Source organism: Homo sapiens, chromosome 15, assembly GCF_000001405.40.
Source record: "Homo sapiens chromosome 15, GRCh38.p14 Primary Assembly".
In the NCBI taxonomy this organism is placed as follows: Eukaryota; Metazoa; Chordata; class Mammalia; order Primates; family Hominidae; genus Homo; species Homo sapiens.
In genome coordinates this window covers 98,931,546-98,952,487 of record NC_000015.10, presented here as the reverse complement: position 1 = coordinate 98,952,487, position 20,942 = coordinate 98,931,546, and the positions used below count along the sequence as shown (strand labels likewise).

The 20,942-nt window shown below is 47.5% G+C and overlaps 1 protein-coding gene across 9 annotated transcripts in view, besides 2 other annotated features; it reads right to left on the bottom strand.

Moving 5' to 3' along the window:
* Positions 1 to 20,942, bottom strand: part of IGF1R (insulin like growth factor 1 receptor) — a 315,992-nt gene that overhangs the window by 12,043 nt on the left and 283,007 nt on the right. For all 9 annotated transcript variants that reach the window (NM_000875.5, XM_047432443.1, NM_001291858.2 and 6 more), the window contains 5 exons: positions 17,435 to 17,664; positions 17,062 to 17,172; positions 13,128 to 13,287; positions 9,436 to 9,565; positions 3,780 to 3,914 (listed from right to left, as the gene is read on the bottom strand). In NM_000875.5, coding sequence (NP_000866.1) covers positions 3,780 to 3,914; positions 9,436 to 9,565; positions 13,128 to 13,287; positions 17,062 to 17,172; positions 17,435 to 17,664 — 766 coding nt within the window. The remainder of the gene's footprint in view (positions 1 to 3,779; positions 3,915 to 9,435; positions 9,566 to 13,127; positions 13,288 to 17,061; positions 17,173 to 17,434; positions 17,665 to 20,942) is intronic.
* Positions 14,450 to 14,549: an enhancer, noted in NCBI's record as "active region_10144". NCBI's record gives its function as "activates an Ori minimal core promoter by ATAC-STARR-seq in GM12878 lymphoblastoid cells {active_cell/tissue: GM12878}" and the evidence as "EXISTENCE:reporter gene assay evidence [ECO:0000049][PMID:35858748]".
* Positions 14,960 to 15,009: an enhancer, noted in NCBI's record as "active region_10143". NCBI's record gives its function as "activates an Ori minimal core promoter by ATAC-STARR-seq in GM12878 lymphoblastoid cells {active_cell/tissue: GM12878}" and the evidence as "EXISTENCE:reporter gene assay evidence [ECO:0000049][PMID:35858748]".

Sequence of the window (20,942 nt, the reverse complement as noted above, 5' to 3'; positions counted from 1 at the left end):
TAGCACTGTACCTTTATGCAGATTCAGTGGTCATCAGACCTCTTACTCCATGGCTTATATTCAGACTTGAAAGCATGATTTTTCTCATAATGGCTGGCAAGAAAACAGTGGCTGCGCTGCTCAAAGTGTGGAGCAGATGGTCACCTGTGAGGGGCAGTGTGTGTGTGTGTGTGTGTGTGTGTGTTGGTGGGGTACTGGGGGGTAGCCAGGCTCCCGGATCCCCAGTGGTCCTCTCCCCTGTGTCCTGGAGCTCACATCCCCACGTGATTGACTCTCACATGGTGTAACCTGAAGGAGAAGGTGAGAGCCTCAGTGTGACTTCTGAGGTTTGGTCAGAAAGGACGTCGTGCCTTCTGCTCAGGTCCTGGATCTTTTACTCTAGGGCACAGCAGGCAAACTATGTACCTGTGGGTAAAATCTGGCCTGCTGCCTAGTTTTCCAAGGTCTATGAGCTAAGAATGGTTTTCATGTAAATGGCTAAAAGAAATTCAAAATAAGAATATTTTGTGACAACACAGGGATGATGTGGAATTCAAATTCCAGTATTAAAAATAAAGCTGTATTGGAACACAGCCACGCTAGCTTATGTGACGCCCACAGCTGTGTTTGCTCCACAGTGGCAGAGTCCAGTAGTCACAGTCAAGGTCGTATGGGCCCACAGAGCCAAAAACATTTTTTTAGCCGGCCTTTTAGAGAAAGAGTGTGCCGAACTCTGCACTCAGAGAAGCCAGCTACACATCCTGAGACACTTGGGCAGTGCTACGGAGAGGCCCACGTAGAACAGGGCGATTCATGCAGGGCATACTACCTATGCAGCAACACCTTGGAAGTGGGTCTGCCTCCCCCAGGCAAGCCTTCAGATGACTGCAGCCCCGGCGGACAGCTGGGCTGCAACCGCGAGAAGGGCTCCAAGCCAGAGCCAGCCAGCTATGCCGCTCCTGCGTTCCTCGCCTTCAGAAACCTCTGAGAGATAATACATGTTTACTGTTGCTCTTAACTAGTAGGTTTTGGGTAGTTTGTTATACTGCGATAAAAAACTAACACAGAAGGGGAGAAGAAGAATTTCTATACTGGGCAAGAAAAGGTACTAAGTGGTCTTTCGAGTCTCTTCCAAGTTTGGATTGTGGAGTTCTGAAGAGGCCATGCTGGGAAGTTTCCTTGATGAGGGCTCCAGGAAACCCAGTGCCACTGCATCTGTAGGTGCCACCCTCAGAGAAGAGGAGCCTCCCATCACTGGCCCAGGCCCAGGGCACCAGCCGACTTTCTGGTTCTGGCCCTGCCTTGATGGGACAATGGGAGCCCCCACATGTGCTAGCTGTGCAAGGGTGATGCCTTCACTCTGGCTTTCCCTGGTATCCTTCCTGCGCCACCTTTCTGAATTCCACACGAAGTGTCCACTGCCTGGGATACACTTCAGCTGAACCTATGTTCGGAAGCAGCAGCTAATGAGCATGCCGCCCAGCCAACGTACTCCCAGAGCACAGGGGTGTGTATCCAGTCTTCCCCACCCCATGCCCTCCGCTGGCCGGCCATTTACAAGGAGCTTAGGGATTCAGTATTTGTAGCAACACTCAAAGTGCTTTGAAACAAAAATAGCACCTTGATTGTTTGATTAGGGACAATGATTTCTGAGACTATGGAATTCTAAGATGCCCCCCAAGATCGTTGCCCCTGGTGTAAATATCCCATATAATCCCCTCACTTGAGTACGGGTGGGACTTGTGAACATGAGAGGATACTTCACTCCTCTAATCAGGCTTCTCATCAATTGACTGTGAATCACTTAAAAGGGAGAGAGTATCCTGGGTAGATCTGACTTTATCAGGTAAAAAACCAGTAGAAGCAGTAGAGAGCTGTCCTCTTATCAGTCTTGAAGAAATAGGCTGCTGTTATGAGAGGGCCTATGGAGGCTGTATATGGCAAGGACTGTGAGTGGCCTTGGCCTCCAAGAGTTGAAAGCAGTCCCCAGCTGACAGGTGCCAAGAATATGGGGACCTCAGTCCTGCAAGTGCAGAACCCTGAAGGAGCCTGAAGATGTCCCTGAGCCTCAGGTGAGACTGCAGCCCCACTGACATCTTGATTTCTGCCTCCTGTGACTCTGAGCTGAGAGCAAGAACACCTGCATCTGGATTCCTGGCCCACAGACACTGTAGGAGACCAAATGAGCAAAACTTTTGTGGCTGCTGGAGCCCTCATTCCCTCCTGTCCACCTGACACATGTCTGGTTCATATCTATCTATTATCCCGCCACTGTGGGCCCAGCCTGAGTCTGTGCTGGCTCCAGGGGGGTGGATGGGTGAGAGATAGGAGCTGGGTGCCTTCATGCAGACATAACAGCCCAGCAATTCCTCAGGATCCTTTCCAAAATGAAGCCAAACCTGTCCTGAAAAGCATTTCTGGAAATCTCCTGAATTGGTCTTGAGATACTAGTGGGAGCCCACCTTCCTGTTCAGCTATGGAGATCCAGATCAATCTCTGAAGCCTGCCTTAAAGTGCATGTCAAAAGCAAGGCCACTGCTCCCAACCTGTACCTGTTGTGCGCCTGATGACTGAACTGGAACACCTTCACCCCCTCCTCAAACTCATTCCAGGAAGGACAACAAGGCCTCCCTGCTCCAGCAGCTCTGACCTCCACTGAGCCACAAAACAGCACCGTCCACGGACACAGAGCAAGTCCTCCACCAAAAGGGGGGCTTCTCCAGGGGGCGCTGAGCAGAGAGGCCTCACCAACACTGTGAGGCATCACAAACTCTCTCTCGTCATCTGACAAAACTTAGGACTAAAAGCTGCAAAGTGTTTTTTCAAAATAAGTGGGGTTGCCAGGTGCGATGGCTCATGCCTGTAATCCCAGCACTTTGGGAGGCTGAGGCGGGGAGATCATCTGAGGTCAGGAGTTCAAGACCAGCCTGGCCAATATGGTAAAACCCCATCTCTACTAAAAATTAGCTGGGAGTGGTGGTGGGTGCCTGTAATCCTAGCTATTTTGGAGGGTGAGGCAGGAGAATTGCTTGAACCCGGGAGGCAGAGGTTGCAGTGAGCCAAGATCACGCCAATGCACTCCAGCCTGGGCGACAGAGCGAGACTCCATCTCAAAAAAAAAAAAAAAAAGTGCAGTGAGAAGACAAATTCACCAGCACTGGCATCCTTCTGTCCGCAGGGATGTCAGCTCACACACGCTCCAGGTCCACATTGGTCAGCGGATGAAGCTCCGGAGAGCATGTTACTTAGATGGTTTATGACTTTTGTAAACACTTAACAGAGAAGACATGTGGGGCAGGGTTCAGAAGACACCAAGCTGACCCTACGTGGTGCATGCCGGAGTCCTGGCCATGCAGCTGTGTGCACACTCACTGCGGCGGCTCCCTCAGGCCTGCCACAGGTGGGGCGCGGGGCTCTTGAATTCGACTTCAGAGTAGTATGTGTTGTGTTGTAGCCTTCTTTAAAAAGAAACAAAAACCTCACATGGAGAGGATGAGTAAGGATGGATTACTCTGGCCAAACATTTCACAGAGACATTTGGCCTGAGAAACTACAGTGTGAACTGCAAATCGGAACGAAAGCATTACGGAATATGGGGTAGAATTAAGGTACCCACGGAAAAGCACAGGTCGACCAACCCACTCAGCTCCTTCCACAAGGACAAACCTCTTAGCCACGCCTGGCAAGGGAGGCGCAGGACCAGAGAGAATGGCTTTAATCTCCTAATCTCCTGTGACCCAAGAAAACAGGTATTTGAGAAGAGAACTCAGAAGAGCACGGAGGGCCCAGGAAGTACGTACAGCATGTCAGGACAGTTGTCTGGCTTGTCCAGAAGGCCGCCCTCCATGACGAAGCGAAGGACTTGCTCGTTGGACAAGCCCTGGTAGGGCTGCTCGGCCAGTGTGGCGATCTCCCAGAGGACGACCCCGAAGGACCTACAGGGAGAAAAAAACTGTGAGGAGCTTGGAAAGGGATGGACTGAACAATGCTGCCCCCTCCTTTCCAGCACTTCTTACATCCCGAGCAGATAAACTGTCCTTACTATGGTGACAGTGCTTGTCAGACAGCGAGCCAGGCCCTGGGCTAAGTGCGGGATATCATCCTCCCTCTGTTGCTGCTAATGTTCCCCGTAAACTAAATTCAGCCCCGGTGGTGGAGCTAAGGAAGGTGGTGAGGGCGCTTCCGGCATCCCTTGCACGGTCAGGAAGCCCCTGATCTGTGCTTTGAACGCAGAGCATACTGGGTTCAGCATCTACCTAGTCCCGGCCATTTATCTGGCAAGGCGGTATCACCTAACCTGGCTTTGACCCAAAAAGAATGACATTCTTGTCCAAGCCCCAGCCTGGACATTGACTTAGTAGCCTCAAATGAGGCCTGGGACAGTCAAGCTTTACCAAGCTCCTCAGGTGATTTTTACAATCAGACAATTTTGGAAACCTCTACCCAGGTGGTTCTCACTGCCGGCTGCACAGGAGAATCTCCTGGGGAGGTTTTTAAACAGAGGGCTGGGCACCCAATAGAAACTCTGATTTGATTGGTCTGGGGTGAGGGCCTGGGACCTGGAATGTTTAGAAGATCTATAGGGATCTTGAGGTCCAGTTGGGCCAAGGGAGAAGAGAACTCCTGCTGCTCCCCCACCCACAACAGAGCTGGGGAGCTGCTGGCCTGCAGGGCCTCTGTGTCACAGGTGGGGGGACCAGGGTGGGCTGCACTGGCTGGGAGGGGGTATCATGGACAAAGAATCCTTAAGCAGAGAAGTTGGCTGAGGAATAACTTTGTAGTGAGCAATTCTGCCATATGCATGCAGCTTTGCCAGTTTAGAAGATCAAACCACTGGAAAACAAAACAGAGAGTACACACACAACTTTCAGACAGAATGTTAAAAAAGACAATGCTGGAATCTGCAAAACAAATGTGCCCTCCCAGGGCAAATTCCGTAATTCACAAATTCTCCCTGACCTGTGTGCCTTTCCATGTGGTTCACTTTGGTGGAGTAAAATAGGCTACTCATCACCAAGTAGGGGCGGGAGCAGGGTGGGGAGCAGGGATTCTAGCTGGACCTGTCCTGGGCTGCAGGTGCTGGTCAAGCCACATGGAAAAACCTGGGGCAGGAGATTTCCAACCAAGAGCTCTTGGGACCTTGACCTTGTGCCCAAGCCCACAGTGCTCCTGACTGTATGAGAACGTTTTATTCGCTGCTTCAGCTACTTTCGGTGAATCAAAGATTTTTGTACAAATTGATACTAAAAGTAGATGTTAGACAGAAATAGAATCTTAGCAATCAGAGGACAGACCAACCCAAGGTCCTTTTTAATTACAAGTGACCAAGAAATGCTGTCGTCTTCATGTTGTACAAGACACCCAGAGGCCAAAAGTGCAGTTTAGAGAGGCCTGGGCCCAGGGGAGAAGGGGCTCTCCATCAGCTTTGTGCGGGAAGCTCTGCCTTCCACAACCAGCCCAGCCATACAGGCAGCATGCCTCAGATGCCAGTGGCAGTAGTACCCACACATCTGAAATGCAGCTTGGTACAAGAAATGACTAGCTCTCCAACAACAAAAAATTAAAAATAAAATAAGAAGAAATGACTAGCTCTCTGCTTTTGCTGACTGCAGGCTGGTCTGGGAAATGGCCTGAGGATGTGGCTCCCTCCCAGACCCACTTCTCCTCTTGCCCCACGTGCCCTTCCTGGCTGTGTCAGCGGCTTGCAGGCAGCCAGTTCTCACGGCACGGCTCCCACCCTGGCCCTCCCGGCCCAACTGCTCCATTCCAAGTTCCCAGTTACTGGGCTACCCACAAACTCACTGCGTCTCACACTGAACTCCGATTTGTGCCCTGTTCTTCCCCCGGCTTCCCTGCAGCTGATGCCCATTCCACCCGAGCAGTCTGCCTGCTGTCACCCATGCCCTTGGCCTCCTCGGAGTCCCACTGCGAACTGTCCACCCAGGCTCACATCTGTCCAAGGTCTGGCACCCTCCTTCCGTCCCTCAGAGCTCCCTGAGTGTGCAGGATCCTGCTTGCCTGGCCCACCACCACCTCTCCTTTGGTTACAACATCTTGCTCAATGCAGCTGTATACTCCGGCTAACAAGAACTTCAAGCACAGCTCTAATCACCCTCTGGTTCAGAAACCTTAACAGGGCTTAAAGAATTAGTCCAGGATGCCTAATACAACAGCTGAGGCCTGTCTTGATCTCTCTGCAGCCTAAGTCCCACGAGGAAACCTCACCAACCCCACCTGCAGCAGGTGCTCCCTACTGCCATGCCTGCCCAGCATTCCCACTGCCAGGAACCCCCCACCCCTGCCCCGCCCCGCCCCGCTTCCTAGTGCTCTTTTTGTGACAATCCATACTTAGGGTGCCTACACAACTTCATCTCTTCTGTGAAGAAGATGATGCAACCCCAAACTGTCAGAATTGCCTCCTCTTCTCCACAAGACTTTATCCTTCCAGGACCAGGACGACGACGACGCTGTCATCGTCGTCATCGTCATCATCGTCATCATCATCATCCCCGCATCTTCCACACCCCCAAGAGCCTTACCATCACCCACAGGCAACGATACAGGAGGTAGCAGACCTAGCTCTCCACAAACGCTTGTCGAGGTGAACTGCAAAGCCTATCTCCTGAGCAACTCTTGTCTGAGGTCAACATCACCTGCCACTGAGGACCACTGAGTGCTAGAGTCAGTCGTCCTTCACAGCTTAATGTGACAACTGCAAGGTGTGGACACTGAACCATCTCTACACAATACCAGTTGCCACAGGAGCCATTTCAACATCTATTCAGGTACCGCAGACTTCTCGAGACAGACCTTGCCTTACAGATGGAGCAACCGAAGGCCAGAGAAGCTCTGAGGTTTAACCAAGGCCACACAGCCAGTCAGAAGCACCGAGAAATATGCAACACCTCTGTGTTTTTCAAAGCCGGTATTTTACTATGTGGTGTTGGCTCTTCATGACTTCATATAAAATCAAGTCTTCCATTTCATGGACAGATTTAATCTTCAAACAGTAGATACATGTCTCTGTGTAAAGCCCTTTCTAATTAGGAACCTTGACGTTGTTTCCCCAGGGGGAAGACCGGCGGCTGTGAGTCCCCCTGCAATGCCCGTGCTGGCTGGAGGCAGCATTCAGTAACTATACTTCCCCACACCAGGAGGGGATGGTAGCAATGGCCCACTCACCAGCAAATTAAAACCTACAGAGAAATCCACATTCCCCACAGATGGTAATTAGTCATGAAAGAAGCAAATAACCTTGGCTATTTGTGACTATTTGGAAAGCTTCTTAATAAAAAATAAAGATTATGTGTTGGGTGATCCAGATGCTCGGGAAGAAGCACAGCTCTAGGCTGTGGGGTGCAGCTCCCCAGTCCTTCGTCTGGTTTCCTCCATGCCTAGAGGGCACCCTTGTCATTTCAGAGGGACATGGTGCTACAGGGAGCTGCAGGGAGAGCAGCCACAGTGCCCAAGGGCCTGGGAATGAAGTCCTGGAAGACAGCAGGAAACTTGGAGGTGTTCTGGCTAGAACAGACACACCTCTTCGATGACTCCTAGACCTATCTTATCAAGAACAGAGCAAGGTATGCAATTGTGCTACAGAGAGAAGGTCCAATGGGTGTCACACAGAGGCTGACGTAGCAGAACACGAAAGATTTGCTAAGAGCAAGGATGTCTAAAGCATGAGGCTGGCCTGCCTTTGTGAGGCAGTGAACATGGAGTCCCTGGAAGGAAACCTCTTAGCAGAAGCTCAACCAGCAGCTGTCAAAGATCTGCAGGTGCACTGGGGACTGGGCCTGACTGCAGGGATACATCCCAAATCCTAAAATTCTGGGGTCTCTTCTACAAAGCCCAATACAATTCTTAGTGTTTCTTTCTAGATTTTTAACTATTTAGGAATCATTGCTTCGTGCTGCTGAATACAATCTGAAATCATTTCCATTCTTTTGAGAGGGACAGCTTTAGTTTAGAGCCTGGACCGCTGAGAAACCTGCTCCAACGCCCTAGCCTTCCTGACCTGTGCTATCCTCAAAGCCTGTGTTAAAAAGCAAACAAAACCTGAAGCGCTGTCAATGCCTGAGCATTTCATGGAATGAATACCAAACGCCTATTCATGTTTATACATATCTTTTTGTATTGGTTCACAGTAGTTATGTAGCCAAATGGACAGAATTGGCAATGAACACACTCTAGGTCCCTTTGTTGTTGCTTGTGCAGTAACTGCTCGTCAGAATTTGGGTAAAATTTGCCCGAGAGATATGAACAACACTTTATCCTTCTATTCTGCTTCTGTTCTCCCCGGCTGTATAGTTTTCTATTTTATTATACTACAAGCTGACCTCCAAGCTCCTGGAGGCACGAAGCCTAGAATAAACAGATGCATGCACATACCCAGGCTTGCTCTCTCCTCACCATCCCAATCTCTAAACACCATGCAGAGCACTTTGATTTGACAGTGAAGAGATAACCATCTTGGACAAGCTGATTGCAAAACAGATCTCATACTTGAGCTTAAGAAGCAATCATGCTTTGCCGGGTCATATTCAAATGCTATTTCCAATTTGCACCTGTCTTCAAAATAAGATCCAAGGCCCCTGAACTGTGAAAGGTTTACGAGGTTAAAAAAAAAATGATGTCAGTCACTATTGAAATAGTTCCTCTATGCGGTCATCCAGACTGTTGGAGTAAACAACTACCATTTCTGTAACACAACAGCAACGGGATCCCCCCAGAGGAAAGCCAAGACACTAGCTGATATTCTAGAAGGTGCCTGTGCCAGGGCCTCAGCCTGCCAATAACCTCAGTTGTATTTCAGAACCTGACTGCCTCTCTGCAATGTTGCCAAGGAACTGCAATAAACAATACTACTGAGAGGCCTCTGATCCCTCGGTCGATGGGCTTCCACTGGTAGACACTGTTTATGATTAAGGGAGACGTTTTGCTTCCCATAACCATCCCTGGGTCCACAACGGTGGATGCCCACTGAAAGACAGACAGCAGATGGGACCAGCAGGAAAACACAATCAGGACTCATAAGCTTTGGGTCTAAATAAAGCACTGTCTGCAATCTGAGGGTTAGATTAGGTGAGGCAGACACACAGACAGTATCTGTTTATTGAGAAAGAGGAAAAGAGAAAGAAGGCAGGCAGGGGAGAAACAAAAAGAGGTGACGGCTTCTGGCACATCCCACCTCCTGGAAACATAATCGGTATCTGCTGAAGGCGGAAAGAATGTTGGTCCCATAAATTCTTTAAAATCCCACGAATGCCCTTCTGCCCTTAGCTAGCCCACTGACAACAGGAACACCTCAATGATGAAGAAGTGTGGCTCACACAACACTGAGCTAAAGCTGGCAACGGGTAACAATGAACAGAGAAAGATAAAGCCCTAGAGACTGAGCTGGTGGAAAGTGCAGAGGCTGGGGGCTCCAGGCTGGCAATGCAGTAAAGGTTCTCATACCAGACGTCCGAGTAAGTGGTGAAGACTCCATCCTTGAGGGACTCAGGAGACATCCAGCGCACGGGCAGCAGCCCTTTCCCTCCTTTCCGGTAATAGTCTGTCTCATAGATATCTCGCGTCATACCAAAATCTGTAAGGGAAGAGAGGGCGCAGAGTCACACGCTGGAGCAGGCACCACTGCTGTCACAGCAGAGGACCCTACACTCATTATGTGTGGAGAGACGCAAGGCAAGACACAGACACGTCCCACTTTAAGGTGGCCAAATATTAGGGTTTGCAATTTTATAAGGTGGAGACAGTAAGGGATGATTAATCACATGATGAGCAAATACCAAGCAATCTCCACTTTTAATATATTTACAATTTGATTCCCTTAGGAAGTTAATGCCCTTATTGCATTTAAATGAGAGGCAGGCTGAGCGCAGTGACTCAACGCCTGTAATCCCAGCACTTTGGGAGGCCACGACAGGAAGATCGCCTGTGCCCAGGAATTCAAGATCAGCCTGGGCAACACAGCAAGACCCTGTCTGTATAAAAAATTTTAAAAATTAGTCAGTTGTGAGTGGTGGTGTGCGCCTGTGTTCCTAGGTACTTGGGAGGCTAAGGTGGAAGAATCACTTGAGCCCTGGAGGTTGAGGCTGCAGTGAGCCATGATCACAACACTGCACTCCAGCTTGGGTGACAGAGTGAGAACCTGTCTTGAAAATAAAAATAAGAAAAAAGGAAGCGGTGTAAAAATTAGAGTCCCACAATTTAAGAAAATATATAGTACTGCAGAGACCACTGGTCATTTACACATGGTTTTAAAACCTGACCAAATAAACAGGAGAGTACAGATGCTTACTTAACTTGGTAGCACTGCCCCACCACTGGAGAAAAGTAAATAATTTCACTGCTTAATAAGGGGGAAAATATTCAGGGTAACAATTCATGATGACAAAAGTACCCAGTAAGATGCCGAAAAGATGCTATTTACGAGGCCCCTGAAGCTATTACTCAATACTGTTTTTCAACATAATCCTCCCACTCATTTTTGAAAATTTCTTCCATTTTCCATGTCTCCAGAAGATGCCACATAATTATGTTTGATGGCAGGCTCGCTTTATAATCCTAAATTATTGCTGCTTTGTCAGATTTTGATTTTGCACTCAATCATACAACCTTTTCTTAAGTGGACTCTTCCGTTCTCCTTCCCAGGAGAAAGGGCTGCTCCACTTTAAAATGCTCATGTATGTCTCTAACTCATGCCCCAAAGAGGTAAGGCTACAAAAGCAAACACAAAGAGAACAAAGTTCCTTGGACTTGAACCAACATAATTTACTTGTGCTATGCTAAGAGCCCTCAAACTGCCTCTGGTAAAATTACTTGTCATATTTGTCATCCATGAGACGCTGGGCATTGGGAAAACATCTTGAGCCCTTGAGAAGAATAAAAATGAAGTGTGAAAGTGTTATCTGTGAATTAATACAGTGACATGCAAATAGGGGATTTGCCTTTACTTGCACAAGGTGGAAAAGAAGGAATCCTATTAAAAAACACAAACGACCTTCCTCAGCACAAATGAAAAACTTGAAATTCCAGAAAGAAAAACCATGATTACAAAAAAAATCACTATAAATATGCCACATGGTTGAACAGCAAACATGATCCCTGCTGATTTGGATTTAAAATGGCAATTGGCACAAAAAACACCTCTCCCAGGGTGACGCGCAGTGGGGAGAAACTGAGTTCCCCCCATGTGCCCGGAGGGTGGGAATAAGACACAGACAGGAACTGCCATCTGGAGAGGCCCTGCCCTGTGCCAGGCACGTGCTGCTGCTTTCCTGCACCAAGTCCTTCTCATAACCCCATGGGGTCTGTTACATTATCACCCTATTTCCGAGGTGAGGAAACTGAGGCTCCCGGATGTAAGGCACCTGGCCCAAGTCTCTCACCCATTAGCGGCAGAACTGGCCCACCTCAGGCCCACCTGGCTCCCCCCTGCACTGGGAAAGGGGAGCTGGCTGGCATTTCCACGGGGACAATGTGAGTTCTACAGAGAGGGAAGGAGAAATGAGCTGGGTGCACCAAGGAAGCCCAGCCAGGGACGCGGGCGGCTCTTTCCTGAGAGCCCTGAGGCAGGACGGCCTCTTGGGACTTCTTTGCCTCTCTGAGGGCTGCCCAGCTTCACAGAGCACCAAACGTGAGGACGTCTCAACGTGCCAAACCTAGGGACACACTGGTGGATCCTGAATGAGGAACTCTGATGACGGAGGGATGTGGGCTCTGGGATATGGTTCCATTTCAATACCTCTAGCTCCTACAGAGTAAAAAGAAAGACACTCACCCCTACTTTAGAAACCATTCTCAGCTGGGTGTGGTGGCTCACGCCTGTAATCTCAGCACTTTGGGAGGCCGAGGTGCGTGGATCACCTGAGGTCAGGAGTTCAAGACCATCCTGGCTAACATGATGAAAACCTGTTTCTACTAAAAATATAAAAAATCAGCTGGGTGTGGTGGCACGCGCCTGTAATCCCAACTAGTCAGGAGGCTGAGGCAGGAGAATCACTTGAACCTGGGAGGTGGAGGTTGTGGTGAGCCAAGATTGTGCCACTGCACTCCAGCTTGGAAAACAAGAGCAAAACTCTGTCTCAAAAAAAGAAACCGTTCTCTAAAAGATTCTCATTGTTCACCAAAGGGGCTAAAACATTTCATTAAAACATCACTACTAAAGGAAAAAAATATGTTACTAAAGGAAGGTGAACACTTCCAGAAAAGGCAGTTCAAGAACTAGACACAGAGGTCCATTTGAAATAGCTTCTTTTGGGTGTTAAATCTCCCCTGCAGTTTCTCAGGATAAATATTTGGTATTTTTCTAAACTATCATTGTATCATAGTGGGAAGATGAGAATCCTGGTAAAAGCAGGTGGTTTCCTGAGCAGCCCTGATGTTATGTGTGTTTTTATTAGGCAGATTAAAAGACCGAAGTAAAAACACAAACCTAAAGGCTGAAGTGGGTTTTAACCATTGCTCAGAAATTCAATCCAACCCTTTTTTCTGGTGTGACAGTGGGTGGTGGCAACAAGGGAGTCTAACCAGTAGGCTGGTGAGCTAAGAGCAGGACAGTAAGTGTTGTGAGAGAGTGGTCGAGAGCTTGGAGGCTGGCCAGCCCCAGCCGTGAAACCCAGTGAGCAGTGATCGTCCCTCACCTAAGGGACTGCCATGCCAGCTCCTGCCACTGCTCCTGCTCCGTGCAGAGGCTTCGTCATTAGGGCAGCTTGCCTCTTAGAAACCAATGTGGGTCCCTGGAAGGGGAGCAATGCTCCTTAAAAGCTAGGAAAATTGGAGGGATGAATGCAAGGTTGGACAGTGAGTTTTATTCCCAAGTCAAAATCTCCTGAAGACATTGTCTTAATTATTTCTGTAACCAATGCTAAGAGGTGTTCTACCAAGAAATGCCTCAAACGTCTGGAGAGCCAGCCTCAGGGACCGTGCCCAGTATCTGAACCACCATGTCCATGAGCTATCAGCATTGGGACCGACCGTGCCAGGTTTGTGACCATCAACTGGAGACAATCACATCATTCCCAAGAAGGAGTCCGTGCACTCAAGGGACACACTAGAAAACCTCTCCAGGGGCAGACTAATGCCAACAAAGTCCTCAAAACACCTGAGTTTAGTTCTTGCCCAGACCTGGAAAGCTAAGGACACACCTCCGATTTTGACTGTGAAATCTTCGGCTACCATGCAATTCCGGGCAGCAAGGTCTCTGTGGACGAACTTATTGGCGTTGAGGTATGCCATGCCGTCTGCAATCTCTCCGGCCATCTGAATCATCTTGCTCAGGCTTGGAGGTGCTAGGACTGGATTATTCTGTTGGAGATTTAAAAAAATTCACATGAGAATTTTGGATTTTTTTTTTCCATGCCAATTTCTTTCGAGGTTTGCATATCATCTTTGTTCAATCTGGGCACCGTGGGTTGTTTATGCTAAGAAACCAGGACTTGCTCGGAAGGAACAAACCATCATGGAGAGCATGGCACCTGCTTGCTCCCCGCAAGCTTATTTGCACTTGCTCCCTGACCACATCAGAGCTGGTGAGGGAAACACCAATTTGCACTCTTTAGGACCAACATTTTCTATTTTGGGTAGGGCAACATTTTTTTAAAGTGAAACAAGCCATTTTTGGTAGTAAGGATTCTCAGTTACTCAAATTCCTATTTGTTTATATGTTCCTTTTATTTCCATCACCGAAGTACAGGTAAGAGGAAGGAGAGCACGTTACAAAGGCTGTGTGGAAGTAAGCAAATGTGTTTCCAAATGGACATGGTATATTTTATTTCCCATAAGAGCATCGTTATAAATTATTTAATCCTTTTCTTTCCCTTCAACCTTCTTCTAAAATACAAAAATACCAGGATTACTGTTTTCACCTTACAATGTGGCATTATTATTTTCTGTCGGCATTACGGAAGACAAGTCCTTGGCAACTGAAGTCCAGCTGAAACTAGTCTTGGAGGAAACCAGGAATAAGTAACAGGGATAAGCATTCCTCTTTGCAGAGGACAGCAACGTGCTGGCTTTGGAATTAAAAAGAATTACCCTTAAATAATACATCCATTTAGAAAAAAGTTTTATATAAAACACATGCCCAAGTCTCTCCATCCTAAAACAATCACTAGTCCCTAATTTTAATGTTACCTTTTACTTTTGCATATACAAGTGCAACAGACTCTACACCTTGGTTTTCTTGACCACAAAGCATCTCACACAGCACTGCAAAGCCATAGGGCTCTGACAGGTCCCACACTTGCAGGCCGGCCACCAGCTGAGCATGCCCAGGCTTTTCCACATGGGGTATCACAGTGGTTTCACTGACGAGAAGATGACCTGGGGCCACGCACAGAAAGTGCCCAGTGGTGCGTGGCACATAGTCAATGCCCAGTGGATGCTGGCTGCTGCCCTGTGAGGTGCTAGTTTCTACTGAAAGCTAGTATTTGGAATCATTATAACAACTCCTCGGTACTTCTGGGTTGGTTCTCTACACTTGGTGACACAAACCTTTGAATTCTGAACAGGCTGTCAAAGCTGTCTCTTGGTGACTTAAAACACTTATCACGTGGTTATCTGGGGAAGCAACATTAAGTCACTGGGGGTAAGTCCAAATCACTACTTTTCAGGGCTTTAGATACGTGTGATGCATGAGGAAATATGCACATGAAATGTAAAGTTTATGCTCACAATTCTTAAATATTACAGTATGACCTATATGTGTTATGAAGTGGTCATTTATAATTGCCGTGAGCAACAGAATCAACAAAAGCACTCAACTTTAAGCATGGAGAAAGACAGAGGGCTGAAATTTTGTCAGTTCATGGTGTTACACTGCCATTCTTTCCTTTAATTTGGTTAGAGCTATTTAAGACAAGTATACATATACACCTACTCGTAGTGAGATACGTAAGTGAAACTTGGTCGGGGGAGCAGGTTGAATATAATGAAACTGCAGGGTAAGTGCACACATTTTAATACTTGACATGAGCTAGAAAGAAAAAGTTTAAATCTGACCAATCTAAAGGTGAATTTTAGTTCTGAAAGGGACTTCAGTAATCTTGTCCCACCCTCTTATTTTATATTGAGGACACTGAGGCCCAGGAACCTGCAGCGGCTGTCTGAGGACCACAGGCAGCCAGCCGCAGAGCCAGGACCAAGGCCATGTGTTCTGAATTTTTATTCTGTGCCTGAAACTGGGGAGGAAGGGAGTGAGTTTTGGACTTTTCAGAGGTGCCTCAATCGATGCTGGCAAGAAATACTCTGCCAGATCTCCAGTCACCTATTTCATCAAGCTTTTCTCCTTCATGCTGTTTTGTGTATTAAAGTGAACCAAGGGCCAGGCGCAGCGGCTCACACCTGTAATCCCAGCACTTTGGGAGGCTGAGGTGGGTGGATCACCTGAGGTCAGGAGTTCAAGACCAGCCTGGCCAACATGGTGAAACCCCGTCTCTACTAAAAATACAAAAATTAGGTGGGCGTGGTGGTACACACCTGTAATCCCAGCTACTTGGGAGACTGAGGCAGGAGAATCGCTTGAACCCAGGTGGTGGAGGTTGCAGTGAGCTGAGATCATGCCACTGCACCCCAGCCTGGGCAACAGAGCAAAACTCCATCTCGAAAGAAAGAGAGTGACAGAGACACAGAGAGGGCCAGAGAAAGTGAGTGAGTGAACCAGGAAGAGGCACTAACACCCAGGGGTGCTGGGGACCAATGCTTGGCAGAACAGAGGGTGGGAGTTTTGTAAACCATCCTGCTTGAAGCCCCAGTCCACACTTGGCCCCAAACACCATGTGCTGCAAATACATGAAGTCATATGTGAACAGGTGTTTGGAACTAAAATTAAGAAACTGTCACTTGGGAGATGATTAAGTTGCCGATTCAAAGAACATTAAAAAAAAAAAAAAATTAAGCCCAAATGAAGAACAGCAAAAGAATTTCCAAAGGGGCCGAGAAGGGGAAGTCACTGCTTCTAAGGAATAAAAGCAGACACACTGCTTACCCAGTAAGCAGCAAAGTAAGGGTCAAAGACTTCAGACCCACGGAGGCAACCAAATGAAAACTCAGTTCTTGCTGGCTTTATGTCTCAGCATTTATCTCCCAGTTTATTTGTAGAATTAATTACTCAAAAGTCATGCCCGCATATGTTAAAAAGCTGGCCTGTGGGTTAATACTACAGAGGGGGGAGACACCACGGTGACTTTTAATGAAAAATTGCATAGGACTTTAGCAGGTTTAGAATTGGAAGCTCATAACCCAAAGTGAAATTTTTAGGAAACTAAGCAGAAATCCTGCAGCTGAGGTGGGATCATTCATTCAAAAGCGTAAGCAGGACACTGACTCTGGATCAATCCTGAAACGTGGACGTAGAGTCTGAGGAAACCAGATTCCCAGTGGCAAAGACAAGGACCGCCAACAATGCCGGGGAAGGGGACTGTGTGTGGGGAGGGGGTTTATGAATGAGTGCACATCTTGCGCACGGAGCTGGGTGGGAAATCACCCAGCAACTTCCCAGATGCAAGGGCAAGAATCCAGGCAGCTTAACCTTGAACTGTAACATACATTTATTGACAGAGTGCCTGCCACAAATGCGGCCCTGAGCCACACACTTGGACTGAGATGAAAAGCTAAACACAACGGGGTGGAGGGGGGACACACTCCAACAACAGCACAACACAACATAACGAGAGAGAACACATACGAGGATGTGAGTCAAGCGCATCGAGAAGTTAGCAGAGAAGATAGCTACTGGAGTGGGGCAGGAAAGCTTCGGGGAGGGAGTGGCGCTGGCCTGGCTTGGCAGGTGGACACTGATGTGGGGAGGGGACTGGGGGTGGAGGGAATGCAGGAACAAAGGCACAGAGGGGCTTAGCAGAGGGGATCCAAGGAACAGGAAGTTCCCCTCACGAAGATCAGAGTCTGACTCTAGTTGGGGAAATCCTTTGCATAAATGACCTACAACTGAGCATGCAGTAAGAAACACTGGATGCTGGAAAGTAAACTGATTTAAAGACACAGCATTTCCTTGCAGGGAGATTATAAAGGAAAAGAGAGCAGGCCAGGCAACATGCAATACCGGTGGAAATGAAAACTGACCTCCATTTCTGGCCTCAGAGACCGGAGATAACTTTTGAGATCGCCCCGTGTCATCAGTTCCATGATGACCAGTGTTGGCTGGCCTTGGGACACCACACCCAGCAATCGCACCTGGGAGGAATCAAAAAGAGAAAGACTCAGAGGGTCAGGTGGCCCTTGCTGATGCCTGTGTTGTCTGGAACTGTCTCTGTGGTGCTGCGGCCTGGTCTGAGCACAGGGGTCTGAAGGTAGCAGTGAGGTAATGGGGTAACTATCCAGAAGGCAAAGGCAAGACACCAAACCCACGGGTACATGCAGCCAAGAACATACTGGGAGGCTTGTGTGATACCCTCTCCCTGTGCTGCATTTTGGCTTTTCAGGAACTTTCTCTTACCACATGGTGACAATTGAACTCCTTCATCACAGAAGCTTCGTTGAGAAACTCAATCCTCTCACGCATGCTTGCGGCCTCGTTCACTGTTTTAATGGCCACTCTGGTTTCAGGTTCATCTTTCACCACACCCTTGGCAACTCCTTCATAGACCATCCCAAACGACCCCTGCCCAAGTTCCCGGCTCATGGTGATCTTCTCCCGAGCCACCTCCCACTCATCAGGAACGTACACTGGAGAAGAAACCGTAATTAAAGCAGGTACAGAAACAAGCCCTTAGACAGAACGTGCTTTGGGGGAACTCTAAGCCAAAGAATATAAGATGCTGCTTCCTTAAACCCACAGAGAATACCAGGAGGCGATGGCATGGCTTGATGTCAACTTTCCACATGCTATAGATTTGAGTAAGAAAACTGTACAGTCAGTACTAGTATTTCAGATCTCTGAGGATTTCAAGATAATTTGAGGATACTAACAGATAGAAGGACCAGAACAAAGCAAGGAAGTCTAGTATAGGAAAGAAAGCAGTTGGTTTTTAAAAATTTCTTTTCATCACATAAAAACACATTTTTGAAAAAAACAAATTAACCACAGGGGATTGAGAAACTGAATGAAATGGTCAAGCAGGATTTTACCCATCTTCACCAACAGATTAAAACGCAAATGTAAAAAGGAGGAGAGTAGTAGGGAGAGGGAAGAGTTCTTATGCTGGGTCGGGAAAAAGGCCAGAGTCACATATGAGAGGTGATGATGGTGCACGTAAGGTCCTACTTCTTGGATGAATCCAAAAGAGGTGTCAGGGCCCTCAACACAGATGCTATGCCTGGGCTATCTAACATGGCAGCTGGTCCCTACATGGGACTCCTGAGCATTCCATGTGGCCAGTCCAATTTGAGACATGCACATGGGATTTCAAAGATTAGACAAAAAAAAAAAAAAAAGTGAAATATTTAGGTAACTTTAATACTGACTCCATGTTAAAATGGATATTTTGGATATACTGGGTTACACGAAACGTATTATTGGAACTAAAAAACTATTAAAATGCATTTGATCTGTTTCTTTTTACTTTTAAAAAATACGGCTACTAGAAAATTTGCGGTTACAAAGCTGAACTGCATTATTGGTAGGATTACTCTAGTCCAAGTGTCCCCCAGCCTTGGCTTTGATGGCTGGATCCCTGATGAGGTGCAGAAGCAACTGAGCTCTGAGACTGAGGGAGAGACCCGGTGGTGCCCAGCGTGGACAGGCAATTAGGCAGCGGACGGGCAGAGGCGTTTCCAGGGCTCTGGCCTGGGCTCTGTGAACTCAGGGACCTTGACCAATGGGTAGAGATTTGGGAGGAATGCACAGTAGATACCAAGCCTGAATAGGATTTCTTCTCCAGTTTCTGTTTCTGTTTAGATTCGATCTGGTTTAAGAAAATAAATGGGCCGTGTGCGGTGGCTCATGCCTGTAATCGTAGGCCAAGTTGGGAGGATCGCTTGAGCCCAGGAATTTGAGACCAGCCTGGGCAACATGGCAAAACACTGTCTCTATTAAAAAATTAGCCAGGTGTGATGGCACACACCTGGAATCCCAGCTACTCAGGGGGCTGAGGCAGGAGAATCGCCTGAGCCCAGGAGGTTGAGGCTACTGGGAGCTGAGACTGCACCACTGCACTCCAGCCTGGGCAACAGAGTGAGAACCTGTCTCAAAAAAATGAATGAATGAATAAATAAATATTTCTATGCAGGAAGGAAGGCAAAACAAAGAGAAAGAAAGGAAAAAGGTTGGAAAGAAAGAAAACAAAACCAAACACAGGCTCAATTCTACACCTCCAAATGGGTAGGGTAAAAACGAAAATAAAATCAACCTGTTCCATAAGATCCATATGAAATGTCAGTAATTCCTCTGACGCTGTGTGCTAATGTCCTTGCCTGACGGGACCTGCCACCAGGCTCTACCACACACTGACTGTGGGAAGGAGGTGGTCCTGGCTCAGAAAGGAGGTGGAGAAGGTGCCTGTTTTTGCTTTCATGCTTTCAGATGCTGACCCTGGGCCTGTGGCTGGATGTGAGAGGCTGACAACTGTATCCTAACATCTCCATATCCCAACTATCAACCTTTAAGTGATGTCTCAAAGGAGAGATGTTTATTATAAATTAGGCCCAGGAGGGGCACCATCATTTTAGACCTCTGAGGGGTGTCCAATATGAACTTCATTAATAATCTTGTTTTCTTTCCTACACATTTTTGTATTTCATAGTACGTATGTTTCAAGGGTTTCACGAATGGAACTCTGCCCTCCAGCTGGCATAGGTGGCTTGCACCCCTGAAGAAGAGGCGGGTGCTTGTCAGAGGAGAGTAAGTATGCAAGACAACCCAGGAGATAAGGCTCTTCACAATGCGCCTCAGAAAGTGTAAAGAGTTCACTGTCTCCAGCCATTTATCTCTGAGAATCCAGGCTTGCTTTTAATCAGAATTAACTGTTTAGCCTGCCATAAAACATGGAGTTGAAACCAATCACATTCATTCCCTGGGAGGTCCCTGAAGTCAATACGCTCAATCCTTTTCTCTCGATTCAACCCAACGGCTCCGACTTTAAGCAGGCGTCCCCAGTGCCACCAGCCAGGAGCGGTTTCTGTGCACAATGTTATCAGCACTTTCCTGTAGGGGATTTTCAATGTACTCTGGAGAATGGTGACATGCAGATTATAGCTTTGGGAAAAAGAAGTTTTTAAAGCACTTTTGAACTGCAATGTCATTTTGTTGCCCCTCGAGGAAACTGGCTATAAGTGCTTCTCAAAGGCCGAATAAATTAAGTTCAAATAAGGTGACACTGTTCCCACCTGTCGACCTGGGTGGCAATAAGTTTGTTTTTGTTGTAATGAAGTACCAAGACGTATCATGAAAGCATTCTAGAAGGACACAAAATGTGAATTCAAGTCACCATGAGAGCCCTGAGAATCTGAATTTGTTGTATTGATGCTTTCTCTTCCTGGACACTTCACAGTCAAAAGCTACACACACCAACCTCTAGTGCCGCATTTCAAAGCAGAATAGCTTCTCTCGTAGAGTCACAGTCCACCCTCACAGAGGGAGAAAGTGGTCTTGCCTTGTTCTATCAATTCCATCATCTGGGATGACTCCCTTCCTTACTGATTTTCTTTTTAGAAGCTATTATTCATACAAACAATGCATATCTATCTTCTTGCTGGATTTTAAGAGCCAGTCTCGCTCTATAGGCTGTAGTGCAGTGGTGGGATTCTAGCTCACTGCAGCTCTTGGGCTCAGGTAATCCTTTCACCTCAGTCTCCCGAGTAGCTGGGACTACAGGTGCCTTCGACCACATCTGGCTTTTTTTTTTTTTTTTTTTTTAAAGGGAAAGATCCTCTCCACAAGTAACAACTCTTGTAAGTGTGGTGTGCATCCGTCCAGAATGTTCTCTCTGCCTTATATACACACACTACAGAAGTATGTATATATATATTACTATTAAAAAACCAACTTTGTGAGACCTTTATGTAGA